Source organism: Homo sapiens, chromosome 22 (genome assembly GCF_000001405.40).
Source record: "Homo sapiens chromosome 22, GRCh38.p14 Primary Assembly".
Classification (NCBI taxonomy): Eukaryota; Metazoa; Chordata; class Mammalia; order Primates; family Hominidae; genus Homo; species Homo sapiens.
Window position 1 is genome coordinate 21838793 of NC_000022.11, and position 24419 is coordinate 21863211.

At 43.0% G+C, this 24419-nt stretch overlaps 1 protein-coding gene across 2 annotated transcripts in view, besides 2 other annotated features; it reads right to left on the reverse strand.

Annotated features, from left to right (window-relative positions):
* MAPK1 (mitogen-activated protein kinase 1) overlaps positions 1 to 24419 on the reverse strand; it is a 108024-nt gene that overhangs the window by 79136 nt on the left and 4469 nt on the right. The gene's annotated exons all lie outside the window — the stretch shown is intronic.
* Positions 7614 to 7814: a silencer, noted in NCBI's record as "peak4467 fragment used in MPRA reporter construct". NCBI's record gives its function as "represses an SCP1 promoter by STARR-seq MPRAs in K562 erythroleukemia cells {active_cell/tissue: K562}" and the evidence as "EXISTENCE:reporter gene assay evidence [ECO:0000049][PMID:32103011]".
* Positions 17050 to 17551: an enhancer, noted in NCBI's record as "H3K4me1 hESC enhancer chr22:22210131-22210632 (GRCh37/hg19 assembly coordinates)". NCBI's record gives its function as "activates a minimal SCP1, AML or CMV promoter by ChIP-STARR-seq in primed H9 embryonic stem cells {active_cell/tissue: H9 hESC(primed)}" and the evidence as "EXISTENCE:reporter gene assay evidence [ECO:0000049][PMID:30033119]".

Genomic DNA, 24419 nt, shown 5'->3' on the forward strand with positions numbered 1-24419 from the left:
AGAGCTAGAACAATAAAACTCTACAAAGAAACATAGGGATAAATCTTCAGGGTAAACCCTGAAAATCTGGCAATGGATTCTTACATATATGACATGACAGGCATAAACAACAAAAGAAAAAAATAGATAAATTGGACTTGACCAAAATTTAACAACTTTGTGCTTCAAAGGACACTAGAAAGAAAATGAAAAGACAACTCACAGAATGAGAGAAAAATATTTGCATATCATGTATTTGATAAGGAATCTGTATCTAGAATGTATAAAGAACTTTTAAAACTCAATCACAGGAGCTGGGTGTGGTGGCTCATGCCTGTAATCTCAGCACTTTGTGAGGCTGAAGTGGGAGGATCACCTGAAGTCAGGAGTTTGAGACCAGCCTGGCCAACGTGGTGAAACCTCATCTCTACTAAAAATACAAAAATTAGCTGGGCGTGGTGGTGGGTGCCTGTAATCACGGCTACTCGCGAGGCTGAGGCAGGATAATCGCCTGAACCTGGGAAGCAGAGGTTGCGGTGAGCTGAGATCGCACCACTGCACTCCAGCCTGGGCAACAGAGTGAGAGTGTGTCTCAAAAACAAAAACAAAACAAACAAAAAAACTCAATAATAGGCCAGGCATGGTGGCTCATGCCTGTAATCCTAGCACTTTGAGAGACTGAGATGGGAGGACTGCTTGAGCCCAGGAATTTGAGACCAGTGTGGGCAACATGGCAAGTCCCTGTCTCTACAAAAAATTAAAAATTAGCCAGATATGGTGGTGCATGCCTGTGATCCCAGCTACTTGGGAGGCTAATGCAGGAGGACTGCTTGAGCCCAGGAGTTCAAGGCTGCAACGAGCCGTGATCACACCACTGCACTGCAGCCTGGATGACAGAGTGAGACCCTGTCTCTAACAAAACATAATTAAAAGATCAATACTTCAATTTATGTTCAAGTGGTTAAACACAGAATTACCATATGACCTGGCAAATGAAAACCATGACCACATAGAAACTTGTACACAAATGTTCGTAGCAGCATTATTCATAATAATCAAAAGGTGGAAACAAACCAAAGCTCCATCAACTGATAGACAAGCAAAAGGTGGTGTATCCACACAATGGAATATTATTCAGCCATAAAAATGGAATGAAGTACTGATAAATGCTACAACATGGATGAACCTTGAAACATGCTAAGTGAAAGAAGCCACACATGTGATGCCATTTATACAAAATGTCCAGATAGGCAAATCTATACAGATAGAAATTAGATTGGTAGTTACTTTACACTGAAAAAGAAGGGGAGAGAGAGAGAGAGAGTAAATAGCTAAAGGATACAGGATTGGTTTCTTTCTTTCTTTTTTGACACAGGGTCTCGCTTTGTTGGCCAGGATAGAGTGCAGTCGCGTGGTCACAGGTTACTATAGCCTTGACCTAGGCTCAAGCAATTCTCCTGCCTCACCCTCCCAAGTAGCTGGAACCTCAGGGCCATGCCACAATTCCTGGCTAACTTTTAAATTTTTTGTAGAAACAAGGTTTCACTATTTTACCCAGGCTGGTCTCAAACTCCTAGGCTCAAGTGATACTCCTGCCTATACCTACCAAAGTGCTGAAATTACAGGTGTGAGCCACTGTATCCAGTCAAGGGTTTCTTGTTGAGGTGATTATTCTAAAAATTGACTTTGATGGTTATTAAACATATCTGTGTATATATTTTAAAAAGCTACCCTGGGAGGCCAAGGTGGGCAGATCACGAGGTCAAGATCGAGACCATCCTGGCCAACATGGTGAGACCCTGTCTCTACTAAAAACACAAGAATTAGCTGGGTGTGGTGGCGGGAGTCTGTGATCCCAGCTACTCAGGAGGCTGAGGCAGGAGAATTGCTTGAACCCGGGAGGCTGAGGCTGTGGTGAGCTGAGATCACGCCACTGCACTCCAGCCTGGCGAAAAAGTGAGACTCCATCTCAAGAAAAAACAAAACAAAACAAAAAAACACGCTGAATTGTACACTTTAAACGGGTGAAATGTTTGTAAATTATCTCTCTCTCTCTTTTTTTTTTTTTTGAGACAGAGTCTCTTTCTGTCACCCAGGCTGGAGTGCAGTGGCGCGATCTTGGCTCACTGCAGCCTCTGCCTCCTGGGTTCACGCAATTCTCCTGCCTCAGCCTCCCGAGTAGCTGGGATTACAGGCACACACCACCATGCCCGGCTAATTTTTTTTTTGTATTTTCAGTAGAGACGGGGTTTCACTATGTTGGCCAGACTGGTCTTGAACTCTTGACCTCGTGATCCGCCTGCCTCAGCCTCCCAAAGTGCTGGGATTACAGGCTTGAGCCACCGTGCCCAGCCATAAATTATATCTCAATAAAGCCTTGGTTCTTTTGAAGTTAAGTCCCTGGGGCAAGAAATATACTAGATGAACTTAGAACATATTGTAGTGCCAGGAAGTATGGAGCTAAACATTTTTTTACATGTAAATAATTAAGGTATGTCAAAGGGACACAGAAGCCAACTGAAAGAGCTCCCAATGCCCAAAGCTGGAAAAACATAAGCACCAAAATCGAAGTGCCATTGGGATTGTAACCCAAAATGTAAAATTAATATTCACAAGTCCATAGTGATATATACAAATGGGGAGAAGAGACAATCTCCCAAATAGAAGAATACCAAATAATTTATGTTGATACTACACCATCAAGGAGGTGGAAGATAACTCCCTACTCCTTCAGTGTGGGATACACTTAATGACTTGCTTCCATTGAGTATATTACGCAAAAAGGAGAAAACAGTGAGACACCTGGCAAACACTTTAGCCAGGTGATCAAGGTCAACAACAAGAGTGTTCTGTTGACAGTATATGCCCTTGATGTGATGTGATGAGAATGGCACTATCTTTGTGGTCTTCCTCCCCTCCAAACCCACAACCCCACTTTAATCATGCGAAGAACATTAAGCAAAGCTGGGCATGGTGGACTGTGCCTGTAATCCCTGCTACTTGGGAGACTGAGGCAAGAAGATCACTTGAACATAGGAGCTTGAGGCTGCAGTGAGCTATGATTATGCCACTATACTCCACCCTGGGCGACAGAGTAACACCCTGTCTCTAAAATAAAATTTTTAAATAAAATAAAAAATTTATTTTAAAAAAGTTAAGCCCTTTTTAGTATTTAAATATATTGCTAACAAGTAAAAAAAAATGCATGAATAATGATATGGTTTAAAATTTTTTTTTTTGAGATGGAGTCTTGCTCTGTTGCCCAGGCTGGCGTGCAATGGTGCGATCTCAGCTCACTGCAACCTCCGCCTCCAGGGTTCAAGCAATTCTCCTCCCTCAGCCTCCTGAGTAGCTGGGACTACAGGCATGTGCCGCCACGCCCAGCTAATTTTTGTATTTTTAGTAGAGATGGGGTTTCACCATGTTGGCCAGGATGGTCTCAATCTCTTGACCTCGTGATCCACCTGCCTCGGCCTCCCAAAGTGCTAGAATGATAGGCGTGAGCCACTGCGCCCAGCCGGTTTTAAAATTTTGACTGTTGGCCAGGTGTGGTGGCTCATGCCTATAATCCCAGCACTTTGGGAGACCGAGGTGGGTGGATCGCTTGAGTCCAGGAGTATCAGAGCAGCCTGGGCAACATGGTGAAACCTCGTCTCTACAAAAATTACAAAAATTAGCTGGCTGTGGCACACGTCTGTAGTCCCAGCTACTAAGGAGGCTGAGGTGGGAGAATCACTTGAACCTGTGAGGCAGAGGTTGCAGTGAGCCAAGATCGCGCCACTGTACTCCAGCCTGGGTGACAGAGTAAGACCCTGTCTCAAAAAAATAAAATAAAATTTTTACTGTTTTCAAAGACTGATTAGTGGTCTGGAAAATGATTATACTACTGTGTTGGATCAAAGATTCAGAATACCAAATGATATGATGTATATAAAATGTAATCCCAATTTTACTAGGAAAAAAATGTGCCAGGATGTTGACAGCAGATATCCCTGGGTAGCAGCATTACAGGTGAATGCTTTTTGCATAAATGTGCCTTTCTGTGTTTTCCAAATTTTCTCTAAAGAAAAAAAACTGAGATGATTATCAAACTATATTATTTGGGGATTACAAATTGTAGCAAGTTCAGGAGAAGCACAGATTCATTAGCCCTTGGAACAAAGCTGTTTCAGAATTCAGTATTTTTCAGATTTTAGAAAGGTAATACAGTGCATACATATGTGCATACATCCCTGGCGAGGTCTGGTGTGTACCAAGGAATCCAGCACTGATATTTCTGCAGCAAACATACAAATAATCACACTAGATGGGAAAAATACAGACTATGAATAGTCTCGTGGCAGTCCACGTCAGGTTTTGCCCCAAATGAGCTTACAAAAGATACCCAGAAAGGTCTGAAACCCTGAGCTGCAAATAAAGCACTGTGGACCTGTGGAAGGATCCTGAATGAGGAATGAGTTTCAACCGTTAGAACCAATTCCAGTGGCGACGAGCCCCTCCCTATAGTTTTGCTGAAGTAAGAACACTTTTATTTGTGGTGTGAGGGGTACAGACCATATTTAGAGATGAGAAGACATCAGAGGCAGAAGAAGGGGTAAAGAGAACTCACTTCTTCAGCAAAGGGTAAGGCTGAGCTCTCCTGTCAGAGAGGAGAGTGCAGGGGTCACCAGACAGCACTCTGAGGATCACTATATCTCAACCAAGCCCATCAAGTTTGTACTTCTGATATGTCTGATAATTTACTTGAGTTATGTCATTTAACAGGTCGGCCAAGCCTTGGAGATCTAGTCAGAATGCCTGCATGCATATTTTTAAAATTTAGATGTATACATACTTATAATGGAGAGTAAAGATTCAAAACCCAAAGAATTACTAGGATATTTTTAAAGAACAGGTGAGATTTATTAGGAATAGACATAGTGATCAAATGGTTATAGAAGACAGGAACACAACATTAAGCTCCAGTGTACTTATCCCCTTTATAATGTTGATACTTATGATACAGTATGTAAATAAAATATTACCTACCCTTACATTGTAGCAATAGGCTTACCTTTTAACATGGCTTTGCTACAACCAACAAGGTGGTGTCCACTCTAGGTAGTCCACATTCAGTTTCCAACCATCCCATTAAAATCCCTTCGTCTGTTTTGTGTTGCCATAACAGAATACCACAGACTGGGTAATTTATAGGAAAAGAAATGTATTTCTTATAGTTCCGTAAGCTGGGAAGTCCAAGGTCAAGAGGCCTGCATCTGGCAGAGGCCTTCTTGCTGTATCACCCCATGGCAGAAGGGCAAGCAAAGGCAGGAGCGTAAGAGACAGAGAGGGCCCAACTCACTTTTAGACCAACCCACTCTGTGATAATGACCTAAATCCATTCATGAGGGCAGAACCCCCATAGCCAAATCAGGTCTTTTTTTTTTTTTTCTTTTTTTCTCAGATGGAGTCTCACTCTGTCACCCAGGCTGGAGTGCAGTGGCGCGATCTCAGCTCACTGCAACCTCTGCCTCCTGGGCAGTGTGTTGGCAAGGTTGTGGAGAAACTGGAATCCTTTTGCCCTGTTGGTGGGAATGTGAAAAGGTGCAGCCACTTTGGAAACAGTATGGGAGGCTGAGTTGTGAGGATCACTTGAACTCAGGAGTTTGTGGTTCCTCAAAATTAAACACAGAATTACCATATGATCCAGTAGTGCCCTTCTGGGTTCCTACCCAAAAGAATCGAAAGCAGGGTCCCAAAGAGATAGTTGTACACTTATATTCATAGCAGCCTTATTCACAAGAGGCAAAAGCAACCCAAGTGTTCATCAACAGATGAGTGGTGTGTGTATTTACAATGGAGTATATTGTTCCACCTTAAAAAGGAAATTGTGACACATGCTACAACATGGATGAGCCTTAAGGCCATTATAGTAAGTAAAATAAGCCAATCATAAAAAGACAAACACTGTATGATTCCACTTACATGAGGTACCTAGAGCAGTCAGACTTCATAGAGACAGAAAGTAGAATGGTGGCTGCCAGGGGCTTGGAAGAAGGAAAAATGGAGAGTTATTTAATTGCTATAGAGTTTCAGCATTGCATGATGTAAACAGCCCTGGAGGCCAGGCACGGTGGCTCACGCCTGTAATCCCAGCACTTTGGGAGGCCAAGGCGGGTGGATCACGAGGCCAGCAGATGGAGACCATCCTAGCTAACAGGGTGAAATCCCGTCTCTACTAAAAACACAAAAAATTAGCCAGGCGTGGTGGCGGGCGCCTGTAGTCCCCGCTACTCAGGAGGCTGAGGCAGGAGAATGGCGTGCACCTGGGAGGCTGAGATTGCACCACGGCACTCCAGCCTGGGCGACAGAGCAAGACTCCGTCTCAAAAAAAAAAAAAAAAAAAAGAGCTCTGGAAATTGGTTGCACAATGTGAATCTACTTAATGCTACAGAACAGTACACCTAAAAATAGTTAAGATGGTAATTTTTTTTTTTTTTTTGAGATGGAGTTTTGCTCTTGTTACCCAGGCTGGAGTGCAATGGTGCAATCTTGGCTCACCGCAACCTCTGCCAGCCAGGTTCAAGTGATTCTCCTGGCTCAGCCTCCTGAGTAGCTGGGATTACAGGCATGCACCACCACGCCCGGCTAATTTTGTATTTTCAGTAGGGACAGGGTTTCTCCATGTTGGTCAGGCTGGTCTCGAACTCCCGACCTCAGGTGATCCGCCCGCCTCGGCCTCCCAAAGTGCTGGGATTACAGGCGTGAGCACCTGGCCAAGATGGTAAATTTTGTTATGTGTATATTACCATAATTTTTTAAAAAGGCTCCATGAAATTATCTATGTACATAGGTATCTAGCCTATATCCCACAGTCATTCACTCCAATACTTTATTCTCTACCCCATTCTGGGATGCATAAAGATTGCTCTTAGGATTACATAGTGATTTAGTTAATACAGTCATTTCAACACTCAAAAGACATGATCCTTGTTTCACCAGAGTAAAATGAGACTCTGAGAAGTTACAGGACATGCTCTAAGTCACCCAGCCATAAGTGTCAGAGCTGAATTTTCAAATGCAGTTACTAATTTGATAAATGAGATATGTTACCTTGCTGTTCTTAAAAAGGCTTGTAACTTCAGTGAGGAACTTATTCCTGTCTTCATTCATGTATTCAACTAATATAGAGAAATGAATGGGAAAGTGAAGAGAAGATGAAGACTATTACGGAGATGGCACAGGGTTAGCCAGCCTTATTTGTGTTATGCAGATGGGGAAACAGACCTAGGCAGGAATCTGCCTGATTCAACAAATATTTACTGAGTACCTACTATGTGCAATGTGTATACTAGGTGCTGGGGATACAGCAGAGAACAAAGTCCCCACTCTCAATGAAAGGGGCCAGTCTTTTTATTCATCTTTAGTTAATTTTAAGCACACAACAGCTATCTCAAACTTTCTTCACACTTTCCAAGCCCCTGATCCCTTATGTACTCTTGGCAGATGCCCCACCTTATCTCTTACCAGAACCTAAGGCCAACTAGCATAAAATCCCTTGAGCACACTTAGATTGGCATGCTTTTACTGTGACATCTGTTCCTACAGCACCCTTACTTTCTTCTCTTGAGCTGAGGGTGAAGATCTCTTTCTTTCCCATCTGTAATCTCACAATATGCACAACTACACCAGAGACAATGGAGGCACAATACAGGCCAGAGGTCTGTTCCTCATTCCTTCTGCGGGGCCTTCCTCCAGTGAATATCTCTTCTAACATTGTCAATCATATCCAACAGAAAAAGAGATCTCTCCATTGGTACAAAAACCTACAGCTCCTAAGAAGATTTTGACTCTCACTGCTCAACTTCTCAAATAAAAATTCCTCCACTTTAGTTCTAATTATCACTCAAATGCTGTTAGACCTGTGGGCAGGTCACTATATCCCTGCCTAGGTCTGTTTCCCCATCTGCGTAACAGAGAAATAATTGTGCTTTATCTGTCCTACAGAAGTGTGAAGAGGTTTGATGTGACAGCAGTGAAAGCAATTTAAAAAGTACAAAGTGCTGTATAAAAGAAGACGTTTTCATAATTATTCTGTTTTCACATGCTATCTTTATTCCAATGATCTCAAAGTACCTACCCAAGCACAGTTCTAACTCTAGTATATGTAAGCAAACGTGCAAGTCTGTCACCTTCCACACAAAGAGTCCCCCCACCCCCGCCAAACACACCACTCCCTCTCCCTCTCCTTCTCCCTCTCCCTCTCTCCTTCTCCCGCTTTCCACGGTCTCCCTCTGTTGCCGAAGCTGGACCGTACCGCCGTGATCTCCGCTCGCTGCAACCTTCCTGCCTGTTTCTCCTGCCTCAGCCTGCCGAGTGCCTGGGATTGCAGGCGCGCGCCGCCACGCCTGACTGGTTTTTGTATTTTTTGGAGACGGGGTTTCGCCATGTTGGATCGGCTGGTCTCCAGCTCCTAACCGCGAGTGATCTGCCTGCCTCGGCTTCCCGAGGTGCCGGGATTGCAGACGGAGTCTCGCTCACTCAGTGCTCAATGTTGCCCAGGCTGGAGTGCAGTGGCGTGATCTTGGCTCGCTACAACCTCCACCTCCCAGCCACCTGCCTTGGCCTCCTAAAGTGCCGAGATTGCAGCCTCTGCCTGGCTGCCACCCCGTCTGGGAAGTGAGGAGCGTCTCTGCCTGGCCGCCCATTGTCTGGGATGTGAAGAGCCCCTCTGCCTGGCCGCCCAGTCTGGGAAGTGAGGAGCGTCTCTGCCCAGCCGCCCATCGTCTGGGATGTGGGGAGCGCCTCTGCCCCGCCGCCCCGTCTGGGATGTGAGGAGCGCCTCTACCCGGCCGCGACCCCGTCTGGGAACTGAGGAGCGTCTCTGCCCGGCCGCCACCCCATCTGGGAGGTGAGGAGCGTCTCTGCCCAGCCGCCCCGTCTGAGAAGTAAGGAGCCCCTCCGCCCGGCAGCCGCCCCGTCTGGGAAGTGAGGAGCGTCTCCGCCCGGCAGCCAGCCCGTCTGGGAGGTGGGGGGCAGCCCCCGCCCGGCCAGCCGCCCCGTCCAGGAGGTGGGGGGCACCCCCCGCCCGGCAGCTGCCCCGTCGGTGGGGGGCGCCTCCGCCCGGCCGCCCCGTCTGGGAAGTGAGGAGCCCCTCTGCCGGGCCGCCACCCCGTCTGGGAGGTGTGCCCGGCAGCTCATTGAGAGCGGGCCATGATGACAATGGCGGTTTTGTCGAATAGAGGGGGGAAATGTGGGGAGAGGAGAGAGATCAGATTGTTACTGTGTCTGTGTGGAGGGAGGTGGACATGGGAGACTCCATTTTGTTCTGTACTGGGAAAAATTCTTCCGCCTTGGGATGCTGTTGATCTATGACCTTACCCCCAACCCCGTGCTCTCTGAAACATGTGCTGTGTCCACTCAGGGTTAAATGGATTAAGGGCAGTACAAGATGTGCTTTGTTAAACAGATGCTTGAAGGCAGCATGCTAGTTAAGAGTCATCACCACTCCCTAATCTCAAGTACCCAGGGACACGAACACTGAGGAAGGCCGCAGGGTCCTCCTCTGCCTAGGAAAACCAGAGACCTTTGTTCACATGTTTATCTACTGACCTTCCCTCCACTATTGTCCTATGACCCTGCCAAATCCCCCTCTCCGAGAAACACCCAAGAATGATCAATAAATACTAAAAAAAAAAAAAAAAAAAAAGGAATATTTTCACGTGCAAATGAAAAAGCCCTAAACAAATCTTAAAATATATAAAGTGGTTCAAAAAATGTTTATTGTTATTATTTTAATAGAGGCCTATACATGGAGCATTTATTTGGGAAAGTTTTAAATGAATGTTTTCCCCTGTTTTGGTTGTTATCAATCTACACTTTACCAATTTTCAATAATGATCATGCCTAATTAATTCAAATTAAAAGGTGTGTAATACAAAAAAAAAAAAAAAACTGCAACCAACCCTCGAATCAGCTCAATCTCTCACTGAATTATGGTTATCTGTCACCACTGTATCTGCCTATCAGTGATTAGGGAGAGCTCTCTCTGGAGAAAAATGTCACCTAGAGCATCAACAATTTTCATACACAGTATCCAGCATTCACTTGAACGTTACCAAGCATACAAGGAAACAGAAACGAGAAAAAAGAGACAACATATCCACATATCCACAGTGACCCAGTTACTAGTTACTGAAGATGATCTTTAAAATAGCTGTAATTCGGCCGGGCGCAGTGGCTCACGCCTGTAATCCCAGCACTTTGGGAGGCCGAGGCTGAGGTCAGGAGTTCGAGACCAGCCTAGCCAACATGGTGAAATCCCGTCTCTAAAAATACAAAAATTAGCTGGGCGTGGTGGGGCGTGCCTGTAATCCCAGCTACTTGGGAGGCTGAGGCAGGAGAATCACTTGAACCTAGGAAGCAGAGGTTGCAGTGAGCCTAGGGTGTGGTGGGGCGTGCCTGTAATCCCAGCTACTTGGGAGGCTGAGGCAGGAGAATCACTTGAACCTAGGAAGCAGAGATTGCACCATTGCACTCCAGCCTGGGCGACAAATTGCGACTGTATCAAAAAAAAAAAAAAAAAAAGAGGTAACTCTTGGAAAGGAGAAAATATCTGCAGCACATGAATCTAAAAAAAGACTCATCAAAATCTACAAAGAACTCCTATAATTTAATGAAACAAAAATCTCCACAGAAAAATTTGCAAAATAACCCTTAAATACTTCACGAGATAGCCGAATGTCATAAACATACAAAAAAGAGTTAACCACCAAAAAAGAGCTAAAATATCAGAGAAATGCAAACAAAACCCACAATGCATACCACTTCATACCCACTAGAGAGGCTAAAAATGATACCAAGTGTTGTTGAGAATATGCACTGGTCTGAACTCTAATACACTGCTAATGGAAATATTTTACCACTTTGGAAAACAGTTTGGCACATCTACTAAAATGGAATCTATGCACAGACTGACACAGTCATTCTGCTACTAAATATATACCCAGCAGGACAATGTGGCTCACGTCTATAATCAGCCCAGGCTGGTCTTGAACTCCTGAGCTCAAAGTGATCCTCTCACCTTGGCTTCCTAAAGTGTTGGGATTACAGGCATGAGCCACCACATCTGGCCACTTTTCTTTATGTATATTATACATCAATAAAAGTAAAGAATAAAAAGGGAGAAGAGTCTGAAAAGAACAATTATCACAAAATTAAGGAACGTACTCAACTCTTAAAGATTTGAGAAGGCGTTTCTAAGGTACTAGCAATGTTCCATTTTGCAATCTGCACAGTGATGACAAGTATTTAACTTATTCTGTAAACAGTACCTTTTTTTTTTTTTTTTTTGAGACAGAGTCTTGCTCTGTCGCCCAGGATAGAGCACAGTGGCGCGATCTCAGCTCACGGCAGCCTCTGCCTCCTGGGGTGACGTGATTCTCATGCCTCAGCCTCTGGAGTAGCTAGGATTACAGGCAGGCGCCACCACGCCCAGCTAATTTTTGTATTTTTAGTAGAGACAAGATTTTGCCATGTTGGCCAGGCTGGTCTTGAACTCCTGACCTCAAGTGATCTGCCCGCCTTGGCCTTCCAAAGTGCTAGGATTACAGGCATGAGCCACTGTGCCCAGCCACAAACAGTACTTATATCTTACCTATGTTTAAATGGATATTCAAAATAAGATTAAAAGAGGTAAGAAAATACAATACTCTAGTAAATGTAAAAATAAGTGAGAAGAATAAATGCCAAGAGAAATATAATTACCAAGAAGAAATTCAAAGTAGGAACAGTCGTATAACCATTTTTAAAATAATTTTGAATCAGCTTAACATGTTTTCAACAAAAAACCAAACACATACCAAAACCAAAAAACCACCCAGGTCCAGACTTGTACAGGCAAGTTCTACCAAACTTTGAAGGAATCATTCTAATTTTACAGAAATAAAAACAGAAGAATAGGAAAAGAAACACTTGCCAATTCATTTTGTAAGGGTAGTCTAATTTTCATACCAAACCACATGAGAAAAACCCTATTATTTATTAACAAGCCAAATCCAGCAATATATAATAATAATACATCATGACCAAGTTGGGTTTAATCCCAGGAATGCAAAATTGATTCAATATTAGAAAATCTATTAGGGTAACATGAAACTTAAAGAAAAAAAACAAGAAAATTTCTATACATGCAATTAAAAAGCATCTGTAGAAATTCAATCATTCAGGATTCTTTTTTTCTTTAAGTTTAAAAAAACTTGACAAAGAAAGCTTTATGAAGCCAGGTGCTGTGGCATGTGCCTGTAATCCCAGCCATTCAGGAGGGTAAAGTGGGATGATCACTTGAGCCCAGGAGTTTGAGACCAGTCTGAGCAACATAGCAAGACCCTGTTTCCGGGGAGGGGGTGGGTGGGAAGTAAGCCTTATGAAAAACCAGTAGCCCCTATCACTCAATAAAAGCTTTCCTTTTAACATCAGAACAAGTCAGGGATGCCCTCTGTATCACCACTGCTCTTCAACTTTGTAATGGAGAGTCCGGCCAGCACAGTTAAGACAAGATAAAATATATCTAAGTCATGAAAAGAAACAAAATATCATGATTTTCAGATGATATGTTTGTCCTTAAAAAATTTAAAGAGGGATTACTGGAATAAGAGTTTGTTGGACAATCTTTTTATTCCAGTAATTCATCAGTTTACAAAAGTCAAATGCATTTCTATAAACCATCTACAGATATCTCTTAGAATATAGCCGGGCATGGTGGTGGGCGCCTGTAATCCCAGCTACTAGGGAGGCTGAGGCAGGAGAATGGCGTGAACCCAGGAGGCGGAGCTTGCAATGAGCTGAGATCGCCACTGCACTCCAGCCTGGGCCACAGAGCGAGACTCTGTCTCAAAAAAAAAAAAAAAAAAAAAAGATATCACTTAGAATAGCAACAACAAACATAAAGTATCAAGGAATCAATTAAACACATGATGTGCAATAATAATAACACAAAACTTTACTGGGAAAACAACTTAGGAAAACAATGTGGAATACCCGGTGAATGTACATATGCCCTACCATCCAGCAATTCCACTACTGGGGAATCTGTCTAAAGATCTGTGAAACTCTTGTGTATCAGGAGAAATGTGCAAGGTTACTTGCAGGAACACTGTAATAACAACAAACCTAATGTCCATTAATACTAGAATGGATAAATTGTGGTATATTTATACAATGGTATATAAAGCAGTGAAAACAAGTAACTATACTATACTCAAAAACATAATGATGAATGAAAAAAGCTAGTTGAAGAATACACACAGTATGATTTCACTTATATGAAATTCAAAACCAGGAAATACTAAGTACTGTATTGTTTAATAGAAAGATAATAGTCCAGCCCGGGTGCGGCGGCTCAAGCCTGTAATCCCAGCACTTTGGGAGGCTGAGGCGGGCGGATCACCTGAGGTCAGGAGTTCGAGACCAGCCTGACCAACATGGAGAAACCCCATCTCTACTAAAAATACAAAACTACCTGGGCGTAGTGGCACATGCCTGTAATTCCAGCTACTTGGGAGGCTGAGGCAGGAGAATCGCTTGAATCTGGGAGGTGGAGGTTGCAGTGAGTCAAGATTGCACCATTGCACTCCAGCCTGGGCAACAAGAGCAAAACTTCATCTCAAAAAAACAAAAAAAAAAACAACAGAAAAACAAGAAAAAAACAAGAATAAACACATCGAGCCGTGATCATGCCACTGCACTCAAGCCTGAGTGAGAGAGTGACACCCTGTCTCAAAGAAAACAAAAGACAAAAATACATAACAGGCTGGGCTCAGTGGCTCACACCTATAATCCCAGGATTTTGGGAGGTAGAGGTGGGTGGATCACTTGAGGTCAGGAGTTAGAGACCACCCTGGCCAAGGTGATGAAACCCTGTCTCTACTAAAAATACAAAAATTAGCCAGATGTGGTAGCGCACACCTGTAATCCCAGCTACTTGGGAGGCTGAGGCTGGAGAACTGCTTGAACCCGGGAGGTGGAGGTTGGATTCAAGTGACAGCGCCACTGCAGTCCAGCCTGGGCGACAGTGAGACTTTGTATCAAAACAACAAAACACATAACAGTCATTAATTACCACACATAAAGGTGCTTAATGGATAATAAGTGCTCAAGGAAATGGCAGTCATGGTGGTGGTTGCAGAGAACAACTGGAGGGGATTAAGAGTGGTGGTAGAAACCAAGCAGAAACCAGTCTAAGAAAACCAAAAAAATACCAGGCAAATAGTTTCAAAGGAAAATTATACCATTTTAAGATAAGGTAGACTGGTGGCTGGCGCCTGTAATCCCAGCACTTTGGGAGGCCGAGGTGGGTAGATCACCTGAGGTCAGGAGTTTGAGACCAGTCTGGCCAACATAGTGAAACCCCATCTCTACTAAAAATATAAAAATTAGTTACACGTGGTGGTGTGCACCTGTAGTCCCAACTTCTTGGGAGGCTGAGGCAGGAGAATCACTTGAACCTGGGAGGAAGAGGTTGCAGTCAGCCGAGATCATGCCACTGCATTCCAGCCTGGGTGACAGAGCAAGACTCTGTGTCAAAAAAAAAAAAAAAAAGACAAAGTAGTCTTAATGCTATTTCAGAACACAGAAAAGGAAAGAAAACTTCCACACTCATTTTATGAAGCAAGTGTAATGGTAACCCCAACCTGACAAAGACTGCACAAAAGATACTACAGTTGAATACTACTTACGAATATCAACACAAAATCTCTGAATATTAGCAAACAGAATCCAATGGCACATTATAAAAAGGAATACAAATAAACAAGCACAGTTTATTCCAGGTATGAGAGATTCCATATAAGGAAATCTATTGACATGATCTTCACATTAACAATGTTAAATGTGATGAAATCATATCATCTTCACGGAGGCAGTAAAGACATCTGACAGCTGGGTGCGGTGGCTCATGCCTGTAATCCCAGCACTTTGGGAGGCCAAGGCGGGTGGATTGCCTGAGCTCAGGAGTTCACGACCAGCATGGGCAACAGGGTGAAACCCTGTCTCTACTAAAATACAAAAAATTACCTGGGGGTGGCAATACGCGCTTGTAGTCCCAGCTACTTGGGAGGCTGAGGCAGGAGAATTGCTTGAAACCAGGAGGTGGAGGTTGCAGTGAGCTGAGATGGCACCACTGCACTCCAGCCTGAGAGACAGAGCAAGACTCCATCTCAAAAAACAAACAAACAAAAAGAAACAAAAAACTAAAATAGGAAATGATGGATACTGCCTTAAGTAAACAAAATACACCTCGGTCCAAAGCCAGCATCTGACTTCATGTGAAAACATTAGAGACTTCCCTGCTAACATCACACACCACATAAGGCTAAAATATTTTCCAATTTACATTTTTAGAGGTAAGCATTAAATTCTATGATGCCAGACAAACATTTACCAGATTTTTTTTTTTGAGATAGAGTTTCACTCTTGTTGCTCAGGCTGGAGTGTAATGGCGCACAATCTCGGCTCGCCACAAGCTCCGCCTCCCAGGTTCAAGCGACTCTCCTGCCTCGGCCTCCCGAGTAGCTGGGATTACAGGCATGTGCCACCACACCCAGCTAATTTTGTATTTTTTGTAGAGACGGGGTTTCTCCATGTTGGTCAGGCTGGTCTCGAACTCCTGACCTCAGGTGATCCGCCTGCCTCGGCCTCCCAAAGTGCTGGGATTACAGGTGTGAGCCACCGCGTCTGGCCAAAATTTACCAGTTCTTGAATGCTGAATCCTGCTGGGATAACTGGAAACACTCCTAATGTTACTATAAACTCTCACACTGCCTTGTTGGCAATAATTAAATAGCTCTTTCTAGCAGTTGTGTTCAAGTGGACAGATAATCACAAATGTCTTTTCTTTCTAGCTCCCTTTGGACGAAAGAAAGAAAGAATTTACAACACGTCTAAAGATTGTCACTTTTATCATCCCTTTGAATGATAAGTGATCAGGGCTGTCCCAAAAGAATGCCTGAAAACATTACAAAATGTTATCATAAGCAGAATGGCTCACTAAGGGGATGAACATTCTGGCAAGTCTTAATCTAGCATCACTACCAACTGTTTTTTCACTGGTCTAAAACATAACATCTAATATTTTTATTTGCCTATATAGCCCTGCAGTAATAATTAACTTGTGAAAGGTCTACACTGATTTTTTTCTTTATAAAGTATTTGCTTCAACCATGGAACAGAAACAAAGTTGATTTAATGGGAAAAATGTAAATTTATTTGAGGATAGGTTCAGCACTGCTAAATTGAAAAGGGAAAGAAAATTTCAAACAAACCCCAAAAAGAAACATTTTCACATCTGTAGTGAAAAAGCTAAATAGCAGTACACTAAACTTGGTTACTGACAAAATAAATCCTTGTGGCCAAGGTGAGGCAAAGATATTACTCTCTACTTTGCTAGCCTACCTTGTGTTCAGTGAATTCAAACATTAATTGGGGCAATGTATTGTTTTTGCTTCATTTTCTTTAGCTGTGCAGTAAAGTCTTTGCTTTCATAGAAAGATTGTGCCAAGTTCTTTCTTTTTCAGAATTGCTTTTAAATCAGTTCTATTTAAGTATTTCTCTCTCTCTCAAACTTGACATTTTTCATTACACCTTTTTTTTCCAATGCCAAAATAGCAGCATTAACATTCATTCCAGTCACTAGGTAAAAACTCTCTTCAGTCAAACACACATGAATAATCTAATTCGTGAGGTAAACGACTACTGTCATACAGTATTACGAAGTTCCAACCTTACTTGCAGAGCAAAAAATAAAAAATAAAAATAGTCATTTTCCTCAAGGGTTTAATTGTGGGCTTTTAATGTTGAAGTAAATCAATTTACTAGTTTTTAACCTCAAGTTTTTCCCTATTTCATTATATCTCAATAATGATTATCCAGAGATTTCTGAGGTAAATTACATTAAAGACAGCGCTAGTAACTGGGAAACAATCCACACATGAATCTTAATATATTGCATATATGCTAATTTCATGTAATGTTCCTGAGGGCGGTGACAATATTAGAGCTGTACGAGACCCTAGAGACCATCCCAATCCCTTAACTCCACAGATGAGAAACACAAAAACTTGCAGAAGCAGAGTGACGAGCACATGCCCATGTGACATGTCATCAGAAGCAGGGACCAAGACTCAGGTCTCTTGCCTTCCAGGCCAGTCCTCTTTTGGTAGGCTAAAAGCTGCCTTTCACAGCTTCCCACAAATTTCAACACATCCTCACTCAAGTACGTTTCTGAAAGGGACTCACCGACAACTCTTTAGAGAAAAGGAACTATATCTCAAACCATAGGAAAAGTTCTATATCTAGCTTATCAAACTTTTAGTCTCTGAAGCATGTGAGAGTAAGTTTGCCAGTATTTCTTTCTCATTATCCCCCAATACTTTAGTGACTATTTCCAACAAACAAAACTAGACTATTCTCCCATACAAACAAAATGCTACCATCAAAATCGTCAACGCTCACCTGTCAGATTATGACCAAAGGCCTCTAAGTCAGAATCCCGCCCAGGCAAAATGACATGGCAGCCAACTGTGGAGCCTCGGTTGGCCTCGGATAGCTGGTCCCCCCTTCATTCACACCACATATCTGAGGACCAGATATGGAAAGCCTCTCATGCTGGAAAACTTGGCACAGTAGAAAGGCGGCCACACTTTTGCCCGTCACACAATGCACATTCACGGGGGACCTGTGCTAAACCATTCACAGACAACCTGTTTCTGGGTCAGGGTTTCGTATACAGCAGAGCAGTCAGCTATCGACACAAGGGTTTGTAACAAAAAACAAAAAACAACAAAAAAAAGGAAGGACAAACCAAAACAAAAAAGAAAATACCAAAAAAAAGAAGAGTTAAAAAAAAAAGAAGATAAAAATAAAATCATTAACACAGATACACGACTACAATCTAATTTTCAGACATTCTAGTTTTGCCAATCATGCCGATTCAGAATCATGAACCACATGGAGTTGCCATGTTTCTGCACACTTCTTTAGTGTGGAACAATTCCTCAGTGTTTTCTTGGTTCCATGATCTTGACTTAATTTTGAGGTTTACAGGCCAGTTATTTTGCAGAATATCCCTAAACTCGGGTTACCTTGATGTTGCCTCCTGAAGATTTGGATTATGCATGAAACACTTGACTGTCCCTATTCTAACTATATAAAGATGCTCCTTGACTTACTATGGACTTACATCCCAATAAACCCTTCATAAATGGAAAACCTCATAAGGTGAAATGCTTGTTTTTTTTGGGAAAGTTTCTTGCTCTGTTGCCAGGCGGGAATGCGGTGACACGACGACGGCTCACTGTAGCCTTGACCACTCAGGTTCAAGCGATCCTCAGCCCCAGGCTCCCAAGTAGCTGGGACTATAGGCACGTACCACCACACCTGGCTAATTTTTTTTTTTTTTAATTTTTAGTACCTTTAGTACAGAAAAGGCCTCACTATGTTGCCTAGATTGGTCTCAAACTCCTAAGCTCAAGGAATCCTCATGCCTCGGTCTCCCAAAGTCCTGGGATTATAGGCATGAGTCCTGCACCCAGCCTAGCTGAAAATACATTTAATACACCTAACTTACCAAACATCACAGCTTAGCTTAGCCTACCTTAAACATGTTCAGAGCACTTACATTAGCCTACAGTTGGGCAAAATCATCTAACGCAAAGCCCATTTTATAATAAAAGTGTTGAGTAACTCATATGATGTATGAAATACTATACTGAAAATGAAAAACAGAACAGTTGCGTGGGTACTCGGAAGTAAGGTTTCTACTGCATGTGTATCACTTCCATACCATTGTAAAGTCATCTGACCACCAAGCCAAATATTTGTACTTCTGCACATGCTGCTTTACATAGAGACCGAGACAAAGGGGGATTCACATCTTGTCAACCCTGTTTACTTCAAAGGAATAACAGAGCATTAACTAGGTACCAAGTGCTCAGGACTTCAAGTATACTGTTTTATTTAATACTCATGACAATCCTTTGACCCCTTACTTGTGACTGGCAAGTTACCCAACTTTTGTTTCATTTTCCTCATCTGTAAAAACCGGAGAGTGATACACACTCCCTGGAGAATGACAGGGAAAACAGTACCAAGAACTTTAACCTAACAAGTCAGAAATCAATGAGACCCCTTTTGACAATTCCCACCTTGCCCTTTAGACATTCCGAGATATGCAGCTTTATTTAATAAATGACCCCACCTTGGGCCTCAGCTGACTAGACCAGAGGCAGACACTCTCCCAGGCTGGAAAGGCCAGGTGGAGTGAGCTGTTCTGTGCAGAATGATCTCCCTAACAGTGTTTTTACACATTCTGTTCCACTTGGAATTGGATTCAGAGTGTTCTCAGCCTCTGGTCATCAAAAAACCTGAAGACACATACCTTCAGGGAGCTAGGGTCAGCTCTCCTCTGCTGAGTGCATGGGGAAGTGACAAAAGAGAAAAGAGGGGGGAAAATCCAGCTGCTGAGAGATGTAGGGTACAAGAAGCTTTTGTAACTGTAAAGAGGGAGGGAGGTAGCTACGTTGGTCTATTTTCCAGTTCCTGGTTCCAACTATACCTAAAGCTTTAACTGCACTTTCTATCCTTGCAGTAATATGACAAAGGCCCCCAGATCTTAATCATAAACTTTTCATTTTCTATAATGCAGTCTCTACAAAGTAGTGCCTAAAACATTCCAGCACTCTACCCTACCTTTTACCCAGCTAGCTCTAAGTCTTCCTTCAGGTCCCAGCTTAAACACCACTTCCTCCCGGAAACCCTTCATGACTACTCAGAATATCTTATATCATCCAGTGGCACTCCACACCTCACCATACTCAGTAAATGTTATTACTGCCCTGTTGGACTGTAAACACCAAAGAGTAAGAACAACTTTTGTTCACTACTTTGTTCCTACTGCCTAGCACATAATCCGGTACGTGTTTAATAATATTAAATGAATGAAAATCAAGAAACTGGTAGAGGTAACTAGAAGGAATGGGAAGAAATCAATACTGCTTCCTGATAAAAATTAAGTTGCTAGATGACAGATCCTTTGGAGATAAAGAAAAAACAAAAACAAAAAACAAAGTTACTTTAACTCTAATCCTTTCTAGCCTCTTCTTCAGGTCTGTCTGCAATGGCATAATCATTTTATACTTTAGGGCTAATCCATTCAGGAACCCAGGCTGTAGGAAGTACGTTTCTAGGTAACTCGGTATAACAGAGAAAAGCCTATAGTAGTTAAAAGAAAAAAGGTCACAGGATTTGGGGTCTGCATAAATCTCAATTTACATCTCAGTTCTGCAATATACTTACTGGCTGTGAACCCTGAACGAGTTACCTGACACCCAGTTCCCTTATGTGTAAAGTGCAAAATATAATACCTCAAAGACAAGGATGACGGTCAGGCGCGGTGGCTCACACCTGTAATCCCAGCACTCTGGGAGGCTGAGGCGAATGGATCACGAGGTCAGGAGTTCAAGACCAGCCTGGGCAACAGGGTGAAAGCCCATCTCTACTAAAAACTACAAAAAAAAAAAAAAACTTAGCCAGGTACAGTGGCAGGCACCTGTAATCCTAGCTACTCAGGAGGCTGAGACAGGAGAACTGCTTGAACCTGGGGGCAGAGGTTGCAGTGAGCCAAGATCGCGCCACTGCACTCCAGCCTGGGCAACAGAGTGAGACTCTGTCTCAAAAAAAAAAAAAAAAAAAAAGACAAGAATGAGAATGAAGCTTAAACCAGCAAGGCAGGCTTGCAACTAACATTAGTCAGTTGATCATGGCATATTATCCATGCAGACACCTGCTATCCAGCTCCTACTGGCCATAGGTTCAAACCCCAGGGCCTGCCTTGAGTCTGAGAATCTGGGAGGGACCTTGGAGACCATCTATCCTGTGGGTTGCCCAACATCATTTTCAAAGCAATCAAATCCTTTTTCCAAATGGGATCTTGCCCTGCTAACCCTAATAGTTACTACCTATGTGAACTGAAGATGATAATGACTAAAAGGAAATTAAGAAAAAGAAAAAAGACTAAGGGCAGAGGAAGAAGGGAAACGGGAGGGGAAGGAGGTAGATAAGAGAAGAGCAAAGAATAGAAAAAACAGGGATTAGGGGAGAGAATGCTGTATGTGAAGTTTCCCTATTTGGGGTGAGGCCTGAAGCCCCTAAGAGAGGAGGAGATTTGAAAACCACAGACAGAGCCCAGTCCTTTCATGTTATAGCAGGGGAAATAGAAACACATAAATTTTGTTCAGCTGCCTATAGCTTTCTCCTCCTGTGGTTCTGCTCAGTTTCCAGAAAGCCTGGGTAACGTCTGAATCCTCCTGGAATCTCTCTTCTTCCTTCTGGTACGGTGTGGGCCATTTCAAAGCTCAGGCAGGTGGCCTTTCCTAGAGGGAGCAGAGACAGCGCAGCTACTGGATGAGCTCCTAGGCACCTTTCAGTGTGGGAGCCTCAAGAAGTGAAAGAAAAAAAGCAAATCTAAAGGGGAGCAAAATAGCATCTCAGGATTAGGCAAGAGGGTGGGTGGAGTAGGCCGGAGGCAAGGAGCTCTAGATGTTTGTTGGGGAATGAGGTGTTTTTCAATTAATAGGTATATAAATTGTGAGCAAGGTGAGGAATAAATTACATACAGTTTTGGGGAAAAGTCAACTTGAATTTACACAAATCAGATTATGGGAATGGTGTAATGGTTATAGCTAACTACCAGGAATACATCATTAGGGATGCTATTAATATAAAAATTAATTTTGTTTTGACTTATCCTTTTACTCTAAACTCTGCTCAGAAACACTAGATTCTTCTGTTACTCATGTAAGCTGCTGTCCTTGCATCTTTGAGCTCCAAAAGTGTAGAGGAGACTTCTTGATTAAAAAAGTTAAGTAAACAATGAGCAAGCAAAATTAAGAATCTCAATATCTCTGTCTCCAGGTCTAGAGTTTTTATATATGATATATGTTATTGCTGTTCCTGCCTTTCAAACAGGTGGTACAAACACCCAGCAGAGATCCATGAAGAGAGTGCATTAACAGGAAGCAATAGGGCAAAGTTCATAGAGATGAGCTTTAGAGAAAAGCGGGACTTAAATAGAGCCTGATGTTTCTTGGGGCAGGCTGGGGTGCTGTACTATGGGCATCTTGGCAGGATGATTCTCCAGTGGAGGGAGTGTACCGTGCAATCCAGACCATTTAGCATGTCTGCCCTTGACATGCCTACTGACGGCCAATAACACCCCCTAATCAACGTGACAACACAACAAAAAGCCGCCCCCCTATACATTTCCAAATGCCTCTGTAGCAGGGAGGTAAAATCACCCCCACTGAGTACCACGAGATAAAGTAGGCACAATGCGGCCAGGTGCAATGGCTCACGCCTGTAATCCCAGCACTTTGGGAGGCCGAGGCAGGTGGATCACCTGAGGTCAGGAGTTTGAGACCAGCCTGGACAACATGGCGAAATCCTGTCTCTACTAAAAATACAAAAATTAGCCAGGCATGGTAGCACACACCTGTAATCCCAGCCACTCAGGAGGCTGAGGCAGAATTGCTTGAACCCAGGAGGCAAGGTTGCAGTGAGCCTCCAAGCAAAACTCTGTCTCAAAAAAAAAGTAAGTAAGTAGGCAAAATGGGCAGAAAGCATAAGAGATAAAGTGGGAGTGGAACTGGCAGACAGAAACAGGGCCATCCTTTAATGACTCCGTCACCCACAAGATCAAGTCCAAAGTCCTTACCAAATAATGCCCTTCAGGATTTGGCCCTGCCTACCCCCAGCTGTCTCAACTCCCACCTTCTTACTAAGGCACCCTACACTCCAGCCTTCCCAAGTAATTTGTGGTTTTCCTGACCTGATGCACTGTGTTCACGGTCTGTGCCTTTACATGCACACTTCGCTTTGCCTAGAAGGCATTTCTCAAGGCAAACTCCTACTCACACATCAACACCTAGCTCAGAAGTCTGGGAAGCCAAAGAAAGACAGCCCCAAGTCACTCAGCTCTTCTCTTCCTCTCAGCACTTCACAAACTCCTGGGTAACACTGGTATCTTCTCTGTATTATTCCCCAATTCCATCCCATTATTTGGATGAAGAGTTCAATAAACATTTTCTGAGTAAATAACTCTACATGAAAGGTTTTAAAGGCTAAAAAGTGATACAAGCAAAAGCAGACAACAGATATTTCTTGTTACTGAAATAATCTATTTTCTCAACTCTGATCTTTGGTGGAGCACTACTTAGGAACCAGAAAAACTGGGGTTGCTTCATCACTTCCTAGCTGTGTGTCATTGGGCAAGTTAACTAACCTCTGTGTGCCTCAAGTTTCTTCACTTGTGGGGTAAAAAACAAACAGAAGTTACCACTTTTGCTGTACAGTTATATGGCTTAGCATTAATGTATGTAAAATACAAAACAAGAGTGCTGAAAAAGTGGTAGTTCTACTAGTCTGCTATAATCACAATAACCTTAACAAGACAGGAGGACATTGTACCATCAGGAATGTGATCACAATGAAATTTTAGTTGAAACCATCCCCCTCTTTTTTCTTTTATTCATTCAGCTTTCCCAAGTTGAACATCCCCGCTTTAAAAAAAAAAAAAAAGAGGCCAGGCACAGTGGTTCACACTGTAATCCTAGCACTTTGGGAGGCTGAAGCAGGGGGATCACCTGAGGTCAGGAGTTTGAGACCAGCCTGGCCAACATGGCAATACCCCGTCTCTACTAAAAATAAAAAAATTAGCCGGGTGTGGTGGCACACACCTGTAATCCTAGCTACTCGGGAGGCTGAGGCAAGAGAATCACTTGAACCCAGGAGGCGGAGGTTGCAGTGAGCCGAGATTGTGCAACTGCACTCCAGCCTGGGCGACAGAACAAGACTCTGTCTCAAAAAAAAAAAGAGCTGAAAGTCAACAAATATAATGGCTTGTCAGCTGCATTCTGTTTCCCTCCTATAGTACTCAATACCAATCCCTTAATGAGTACCATCTCCCTTGGCTCCTTTGATAACGTGCACTCCCAGTTCTTTGGTCTCTCTGGCCACATTTCCTCTGTCCTCTTCCATAACTTGACCTTTATTGACACAGTAAAGGCAGGCACTCCTTTGGCTTAGTTCTCAGATGTCTTATCCACTCTTAAGGCTTCAATTAATATCTCTATGAAGATGACCCCATGAGCTCTCTTGTCGCATTCAGAAACAGCATTTCAAACTCAATTAAACCAAAATAGACACTTGCTATCTTAGTCTAAGATGACCAAGCATACTAAGAGTGTTTCAATCTCTCCTCCTCTCCCTCCTCCCCGTCTACACTGTTCCCTTATACATCTGACCAGTCATCAGTTTCCTCTTCTTTGCCAGAGTTACCTGGTTGGTCCTCTGTTCTACTTCAGTGGTTCTTAATGTTTCCAGGATAATGGACTCATTTGAAAATCTATCAA